The sequence below is a fragment of the Homo sapiens genome, chromosome 9 (genome assembly GCF_000001405.40).
Source record: "Homo sapiens chromosome 9, GRCh38.p14 Primary Assembly".
In the NCBI taxonomy this organism is placed as follows: Eukaryota; Metazoa; Chordata; class Mammalia; order Primates; family Hominidae; genus Homo; species Homo sapiens.
The window spans coordinates 76556665-76566125 of record NC_000009.12 but is presented as its reverse complement, the minus strand read 5'-3'; the positions used below and the strand labels follow the sequence as shown (position 1 = coordinate 76566125).

General features: G+C 39.2%; 1 long non-coding RNA gene across 1 annotated transcript; it reads right to left on the bottom strand.

Moving 5' to 3' along the window:
• Nucleotides 1-397: 397 nt before the first annotated feature.
• Nucleotides 398-8205, bottom strand: LOC105376093 (uncharacterized). The gene is made up of 3 exons (XR_007061584.1): nucleotides 5261-8205; nucleotides 1514-1748; nucleotides 398-437 (listed from the first exon to the last, which is right to left on the bottom strand). It is a non-coding gene; the product is annotated as an uncharacterized LOC105376093 (long non-coding RNA).
• Between the last annotated feature and the right edge of the window lie 1256 nt (nucleotides 8206-9461).

Below are 9461 nucleotides of genomic sequence, written 5' to 3'. Positions count from 1 at the left end.
TTTACTTAAATTACTATAAGCCATAGAAAAGGATGAAAAGCCCCCAATCCACTTTATAAAGGCAAAATAAACTGAATCAAAGCTGATAAAAATAAGACAAAATTGAAAATTGTAGACAGGCTCATGAATATAGATTCAAGAAATCTAAATAAAACATTTCTAATTAGAATCCAGTAACATATCAAAAAAAAAGATAGACCATGACTTCTTCCACGAAATTACGGGTTGTTCAGTACCGGAGAGTTTATCAGTATAATCTATTACACCATATTTTGAAGGAGGATGTATGATCATATCTTTAAGTACTTACCATTTATTTAGTAAAGCTGGACATGGTGGCATGCACCTGTAATCCCAGCTATACAGGAGGCTGAGGTGGGAGGATCATTTGAGCCAGGAGTTTGAGATGAGTCTGGGCAACAATAATGAGACCCTGTCTAAAAAAAAAAAAATTATTCGGTAAAATGGCAGCCATACCTAATGAATAAAATAAGAATTAAAGAAATTGTTTAATATAAAAGGCTATTTACCAAACCAATAGCCAATAGTATCCCAAAGCACAAAATGCTAAAGCCATTTTAATTGAACAGAAACTACACGGGAATGCTCACCATCATCATGACTAAACATTGGCTTGGAAGAGATCTCAATCACATTAACACAGCAATATTAAATAATTGACTAACATTCGAAAACAAGAATAAAACACTTTGTTTTTCTCATGGTGTGATCGTTAAAACAAAAGCAAAAACAAAAAACCACTCAAGTGACTGGTAAAAAGCTACTACAGGAAATAAAATACTAAGAGAATTTGTTAACACAGTTGGATAAACAATAAATATTTTTAAATTAATAGCTTTTTCCATATATTTTATTTTATTTTATTTTTTATGAGACAGGGTTTGCCCAGGCTGGAGTACAGTGACATGATCTCTGCTCACTACAACCTCTGCCTCCTGGGTTCAAGCAATTCTCCCACCTCAACCTCCCAAGTAGTTGAGACTATAGGCACATGCCACCATGCCCAGCTAATTTTTGTATTTTTTGGTAGAGATGGGGTTTCACCATGTTGGCCAGGCTGGTCTCTAACTAACCTCGCCTCGGCCCCCCAAAGTGCTGGGATTACAGGTGTGAGCCACTGTGCCCGGTCAGCTTTTTCTATATCTTAACAATAAGTACATAGAAGTAGAAACATGGAAAAATATTTCCTTCACAACAATGGTAAAACATAAAATATTTCAGAATAAATATAGCAAGAAAAAGCAAATCCCATATGGGGACACACACACATACACACACAATTTTATTGAAAAAAGTAAAACAGAGTCTGAACAAAAGAAAGGAAACTATGTTCTTGAATGGGAAAACAAATACTATAAAAGTGTCAGTTTTCAGGAAACTAATATATAAATGCAACATAACTTCTACTTCAGCACTGTATTAATTTCCTATTCCTGCTATAACAAATTGCCACTAACTTAGTAACTGAAATAACACAAAATTATTCTCTTACAGTTCTGGAAGTCAAAAGTTCAAAATCAGTTTCAGTGGGCTAAAGTCAAGTTATCAGCAAGACTGATCTTTTCCAGAAGCTCTGAGGGAAGAATCCATTTCCTCCTGTTTTCAGCTTCTCCTGGCATCTGTATCACTTGGCCTGTGACCTCTTCCTCCATCTTCAAAGTGAGTCACTCAGATCTCTGCTTCTGTCATCACAACACCTTCTCTTCTGCCTCTGACTCCCCTTGTCCCTGTTATAAGGATTTTTTGTGATTACTTAGAATCCATGGAATAATTTGGGATCACATCCCCATCTCAAAATAATTAGCTTTAATCACATCTACAAAGTCCTTTTTGCCATATAACGTAACATTCACAGGTTCAATGGACTGGGAAGTGGTCATATCATAAGGATTGAAGGGGGCACATTATCAGTCTAACACAAACACCAATAAGATTTTTAATATTGTTATGGAACAATAAATGCCCAAGAATAGCCAAGAAGATAGGGAAAAGAACAGTAAGTGGGGAGGGCACCTTAAAAGGCATTATGATAAAATCTACATAGTACTTTGGAGGGATAAATAGGTTAGTAGAACAGAATAGAGAATCCAGAAAGATATCTCAATATATGTGTGAATTTTTTTTTTTGACGGAGTCTCACTCTGTCGCCCAGGCTAGAGTGCAGTGGTGTGTTCTCGGCTCACTGCAAGCTCCGCCTCCCGGGCTCATGCCATTTTCCTACCTCAGCCTCCCGAGTAGCTGGGACTACAGGTGCCTGCCACCACGGCTGGCTAATTTTCTGTATTTTTAGTAGAGATGGGGTTTCACCGTGTTAGCCAGGATGGTCTCGATCTCCTGACCTTGTGATCCACCCGCCTCAGCCTCCCAAAGTCCTGGGATTACAGGCGTGAGCCACTGCGCCTGGCCTCAGCTGATCTTCTGATGGGCATCAAAGCCACTAGGGGTGAGGGTCCCAGAAGGGAAGGACCTTTTCAAGTCCCTTCCACACCATGCAGGTGTGAATTTAACACTTGACAAAAGTGTTATTTCAACTCAAGGAAAAAAGAATGGGTTACTTAATAAGTGATGCTAACACAACTACCAAGTCACAAAAAGAGAATAAAAGTAGACCTCTGTCTCACACAATACAAAATGGTATAAATTACATAAAGAATGAAGGCTCAGAGCTGGGCACAGTGACTCAAGCCTGCAATCCCAGCACTTTGGGAGGCCGAGGCGGGAGGATTACTTGAGGCTAGGAGTTCAAGACCAGTCCAGGCTGCATAGTGAGACCCCCATCTCTACAAAAAAATTTAAATGTAGCCAAGCATCGTGACATGTGCCTGTAGTCCCACCTACTTTCTGAGACAGGAGGATTGCTTGAGCCCAGGAGTTTGAGGCTGCAGTGAGCTATGTTTGGGCCACTGCACTGTAGCCTGGGCAACAGAGCTAGATCCTATCTCTATTTTAAAAAAGAAAAGAAAAGAATGAAGTCTCAAATGCAAACTAAAACAAAAAAATCATGTAAGAAAACCTAGAGTATGTACAAACTAGAGATGAGGCATACCTTCTTAACAGAGACTGGAATCCCACAAACTTAAGAGAAAAAAAAAACAGAAATATTTGAACATAAACAGATACAAATCCCTTATCTGAAAAATGTGCCAGGTACAAAATCAACTGACAAAAAAAGTTCAAAAAAATGTGTCATGCCAAAGCCAAGGGTCAGTGTCTGTAACATGCAACAAGCTCTTGCAAATAGACAAGAATGAGACAAATAACTCAAAAACCAGCATGAGCTGCCTGCCTGTCAGTTGCCCCATTTTTTTCATCTTTCTATCTCTAAGAGAGGCTGGCTCATCTTGAAGCAGAATGTTCAGAGTCTTGAAATACTACTATTTCATAATTCTGAAGCTGTTAAAACCAAGTAAATGATGACTTTGCTGGTGACTAATACAAAAATGGTTATCTGTTCCTGCCAGTGAGAGAATCAAGTATTTTTCACTTCTCTCTGGCACATTTAAACTGAAAGAAGAATGCCCTTATTCATTGGGTTTCTTTCCTTCTCTTTCTCTCTTTTAGAGTTCACTTAAAAGTTTCCATGATGAGCTTAGTTTCAGATTTGTTTTCTTTTTTTGCAGTAACAGCACTTAATGTTGTTTTGCTTTGCAGAGTAATTCTTCCATCGGAATTTCAGATTTTATTTTATTTTATTTCATTTTATTTTTGAGACAGAGTCTCACTCTGTCCCCTAGGCTGGAGTGCAGTGGCATGATCTCAGCTCACTGCAACCTTCACCTCCCAGGTTCAAGTGATTCTCCTGCCTTAGCCTCCTGGGTAACTGGAATTACAGGCACGTGCCACCAGGTCCAGCTATGAATTTCAGATTTTAAAGTGGGGTATTTTGTTATTTGCAGTATGTCAACTTTCCCCCTCTTCATTTACTCAGTAAGCTTAAGCTAGGTTTGAAAAGAAAATAATAATGACCCAGAGTTGGCAACATAGGGGGAAAATAGAACCTCATCATGTGCCTAAGCCTGTATGCTCACTCACTTGTTACACCCACAAAAGAACTTTCTATTTTAATTCAAATTCTTCCTTCCTCTTCTAAAATATCAATCCAGGCTAAAAACAATGTATGTTTGTACTGAAATCTAAATATATGTTCTACAGAAATTCTAGATCACATCTGTGGTGCCAAGGGGCAGAGAGGGACAAATAAAAGTTTTCTTCAAAAACAATATGACAGAAGGGAGTAGCTGGCTTCAGTCTGACTTTCCTACCCTCTCTAAGCCTCAGTTTCCTCATCTGTAAAATGGGAGGGAAATTAGTACCTACCCCATACGGTTGTTTTGGAGATTAAATCAGATAATGCATATGATTTAGCCAAAGAGCGTTGGATTAGTAAGATCTCAATAAATGTTGATTATTATTAGTTTGTTCTTATGTAGGGCCACCAGCACTTGATTAGAAGAGTGGCTGTTTCCATCTCTCTTCCTGGAGGTCATTTTGCCTCTGCAATGTGGAGGGTAAGCCAGCAGTGGTTTTCAAACTGTTCTCAGAGCCCTGGGATTCCACAGAGAGGCCTGTGGGCTGTAGAGGGATCAGCGTGAGGCTGAGATGGTGGGTGAGACTCTGAGACTCCCACTATAGCTTTGATTTTTTTCTATTTTATATAAAAGGAACCTGCCTACATTTCACTTCAAAAACCATTAATCTTTTAATTCTGCAAGGCTAAGGCAATTCTGTTATTCTGTGGGCATTCCTCCTTTTTAAAATGACTTTTCCTAGCTTTTTAGTAATCTTTTTTTTCTTCATTATCCATCCTTAACCACCTGATCCCTCCTGAGAGAAACAAAGCATTCAAGAAGCCACATCTGTGTTAGTATGAATTACTTTGATGTATTATGCCTTTGGGGAGGTGCTTGCATTTTAAAAGAGTCCAAACAAGAAGAGGATAAATAGGATAAAGAAAGATTGCTTTTCTGTTGACAGAAATCCTGGCACTACGGGGAAGACTTTTGAGGGTGGGGTGAGAGGGAAGTCTTTTGTAAAACTGCTAAAATGGCAACTCTAACCATGCCTTAATGAAATAATAACAGCGACTAGCACTGGTAAAGAGATTCTGACTTATACAACAATTTAATCTCCATCTTCTTGGCTGATTTAACACGAGCCTCCTGTAAATGAGGTGCTACTGTTTTCCCATGTCCATTTCCAAGACAAGGACATAGAGGCCCTGCATGGCTCAGTGACTCACCTCAGTTGGCAGAGTTAGGCCCTGACTCGAGTCTCGGGCACTCTCCCCAGGACCACACTGCTACCTCCACCCATTTGGGAAGCCAAGCCTGCTGATACCCAAGGCACCGACTTTTGAACACTCCCTTTGCAGAAATGGCACAAGCTGGGCCACTCATTTTTCTGATGCTTCCTCCTTGGAAAGAAAGGAATGGCTGTAGCAGAACTGTCAGCTCTCAATGAGCTCTTTGTGCAAGTAAATTCCAGAGTTTTTATGAACGATGATTACAGCAAGGGCTGCTTTCCCCCCCCAGTAGTTATGGTCAAAAGATTGCTGTTTCAGCCATGCCTGGCATTCCTCCAGAAAACTCCTGGATATATGCACTATGAGTTGCAGACTTGTGGATTATTGAACCTAGGAGACTGAAGAAACCAAGAAGCTCTCGATTTTAATGAGTAAATGTTTCTTTCCATGTCAAAATCCCTGGTGACACAATTTTTTAAAGTTCCAGAAAGTAAACATAAATGTCATTAATCACTGGAGGAAAGGTTATCTTTTTCTATCATATTTCCACAGAGCAAAGTTGCCTGGTTTTTACTTATACATGTCTATCAAGACTAACTGGCATGAGGACATGTGTGTAATAAGCTCTCAACATATATATTTGTTAATGAATGAGTGAATTAGTATATCCTTTAATTTGGAGGCCAAGCAATCATGATAGCAAAAGCAACAGAAACAACATGATAACTTCCTCTGGGATAGCCCTTCACTATGGTGGACTCTGAAAATTCTAGCACACAGCACTGAAGTTAATTGCTTACTGCACTCAGGGAGATCACTACCTTGACCATCTTCGCCATTGAGTAGGGAAAAATAAGTTGGAATATTGATGATATTTGAGGGTGTGGATGAAAGCAAGCTTTTCATTGCAGGAGCTTGAGATATAGTAGTTTAGGACTGGTAGACACAGCAAGGCAAGAATTTTGAGACAGAATTTTGAAGAGTCTTGGAGAGAAAATCCATTTGTTACAATTCAGTGAAGGGTTCCACAGTATGATGTTCATTCAAATAAATTTTTCCAAAGATATTTGCAACTTTTATTATTCTGAGCAAGAGGTTCCTGGAGTGGAAAAATCATGGTGATGAAGACAGAGGAGGAATAAGGTCATATTCATGAAGCCAAATAGTACAATCAGTTTCACCAACACCAGGGTTTGCAAACCATAGCCCAAAGGCCCAATCTGGTCCATGCCCAGTTTTTATAGTTTTATTGGAGCAGTCCTATGTTCATTCCTTCAAATGTTGTCTGTGACTGCTTCCATGCTACAAACACAGAGTTAAATGGTTATGAAAGAGACCATATGGCCACAGAGCCTAAAATAGTTACTATCAGGCCCTTTACAGGAAAAGTTTGCCAACCCCTGATATGGATGGTAAGCTGTGTGGGAGTAGATGGTTTCACTTCTCATTTTATTTATTTATTCATCAAATTATGTATTAAGCACCTATTGTGTGCAAGGTACCTTTATAGGTGTCAGGAATCTAGCACTCAACATGATGAATACCAGCCCCCATGGAAAAAAATCAACAAATGATATAAACCACATAGAAATAAGTGCTATGAAGGAAAATTAAGCATGGAAAGAAGATACAGAGGTATTGGGATGGTAGAGGGGGGCAACAGGGACCCTTTGGGATGTGGCAGTCAAGGAAAGCCTCTCTTACGAGGTAATATTTGAGTAAAAAACCTCAATGGGGTGAATGATGTGAAGATATGAGATAGAGAATGTCTCAGTCTATTTTTTGCACTATAACAGAATATCACAGACTGGGTAATTTATAAATAAGATAAGTTTGTTTGGCTTATGGTTCTTAAGTTTGTTTGGTTTGTGGTTCTTGGTGCTGGGAAGTCCAAGGGCATGGCCCCAGCATCTGCCAGGCTACCTGGTGAGGGTCATTTCATGATGGTAGGGCAAAAGGCAGAAACAAGTGCATTAGACAAGAGAGGGAAGTGGTCTGAACTCAGTTTTTGTATCAGACACCCTCTCCCATGATAACAATGTGAATCCTGAGCCCTCCTGACCTAATCACCTCTTAGGGTCCCCACCTCTCAATTTCATTACAATGGCCGTTAAATTTCAACATGAGTTTTGGCAAGGACATTCAAACCACAGCAGAGGCTTTGGGGAAATATTTCCAGTCAGAGGGTAAAGAAATGCAAATATCTGGAGCCCAGAACAAACTTGGTGTGTTGATAATGGTAAGCAGATCAGTGCTGCTAAAGCAGGGTAAGCAAAAGGCAGAGTGGAAAGAGCTGACACTGGAGAGCTAGCAAAACCAATGAACTAGTAAAGGCTTAGGGAAGGTGGCAGGGTTTGAACTTTATTCTGAATATGATCAAAAGCTAATTGGGGGGTATTAAGCAAGGGAGGGATGGGATATGATTTACATTTTAAAGGCTCACTGAGGCTGCTTTAAATAATTGACTATAGAGGAACAGAATGGAGGCAGGGATGCAATCACAGGAGAGAAATTGTGCTTAGATTACGTGGCAGAGATTGGAGGTGGTGGTTGAGCATCAGTGTGAGTTGAGACAAATTTTAAAGGCACAGCTAATAAAACCTGCTAATGAGTGGGGCATGGAGTATGAGAGAAAGACAAGAGTCAAAGGTAATTCTGAGGGTTTAGAATTGAATGATGGGTGAATGATATTGCCATTTACTGAGATATGGTGAAGACTTAAAGGCAAGGAAGGATGAAATTAAGAGATCTGTTTTGCTCCTGTTAAATTTCACATGCCTGTTAGACATTCAAATGAAGATGTCAAGTTGACAGTTGGATAAGAATATGTGCAAATGGAATAGATTGGGCATAAGATCTAATTTGGGATTCATCAGCATATGGATGGTATTCAAAGCCATGGAATTTGCTGAGATCACCCAGGGAATGACTATAAATTTTCTTTAAAAGGCGGGGTTGATTACTAAACCCTAAGGCTAGTGGTGAGTTGGAGCTGGCTCACCACTGACCCTAGGGTTTAGTAATCAGCCCCTCTAATTGAACACATCTCTTCTCAACTCCCCATTCAGTGACATCATGCTAATAGCTTGGAATCAGCCATAGTGGACATGATTGAACCATGAAAACTGGCAAACACTACACATCATGGTCCCCCTCCTTCCAATAGAAACAGTTATCAAATATTTACCAGCACACCACTGCCTGGGGCTCTCATATTTTGAAGTCATGAAAGGCAGGAAGAGACAGTATGAGAGACTGAGAAGAATTGGAATGTGAAGAGGTAAGAGGAATACCAGAGTGTGGTGTCTTGACCCAAGGTCAAGAGACAATTATGTGTTCTTTGTCTTTTCTCCCTTCTCCAAGGCTTTCAGCTCTTGGAGTTGATGGAACATATCACATTATAGAGAGTGTTTAACTCTCTAACCTATCCTTCACTTAATGACTTTAACTCATTCGTATAAACCCTGATGCTCTGGAGAGCCATTATATGAAAAATATTTCCATGAACTGTAATTGGAAAATTACGACGTGTTCTATCTTGACCAAAGCAAGATACCTAAGCAATTTCCAGAGATAGAAAGCACATCAATTGACCATTGAAAGCAAGTTTAAATAAGTAATAGAGCATAAATGGAAAGTAAATAAATACAGACTATACATCAAGTGCAAATTAATGAAGAAAAATCTTGGGAACATGTGGTGAGTGGCAGAGGAGGGTGGGTGAAAGTCACTGGTATGTGCATTTTTTCAAGCAATTTTTTCACATATTTTTCAACCTCTTATGGCTCATGGTTATCTAAATATAAATATTATCTTTAAAAAAGATAATATCACAGAATAACACATTTAGAACCAAAGAAAGGCTAAAAGCAAGATTACTCTGAAACACAAAGTAATAATATACATGAATAACAAGTCTGAAGAATCCTAGAAGATACCACCCATTCGTTCTTCTTGCTTGGCTCACTTAAGCAAAGCAAAATGTGTAGGTTTGTTCAAACATGGTGCACAGTGATGTTATCTGACTAGAAATTGTTGTGTCAAGTGAATTAATGAGTGTGTCTGTCTAAAACCATAATGGCAAACTAACAGTTCTCATTGAGTATATAGTTATTGTGTTTGGGGTGAAAACTTATTATATTCAGAAAAAGAAATTGTTCATAACCTGGTAAAACCATTTTGCTGAGAAGTCATTAAC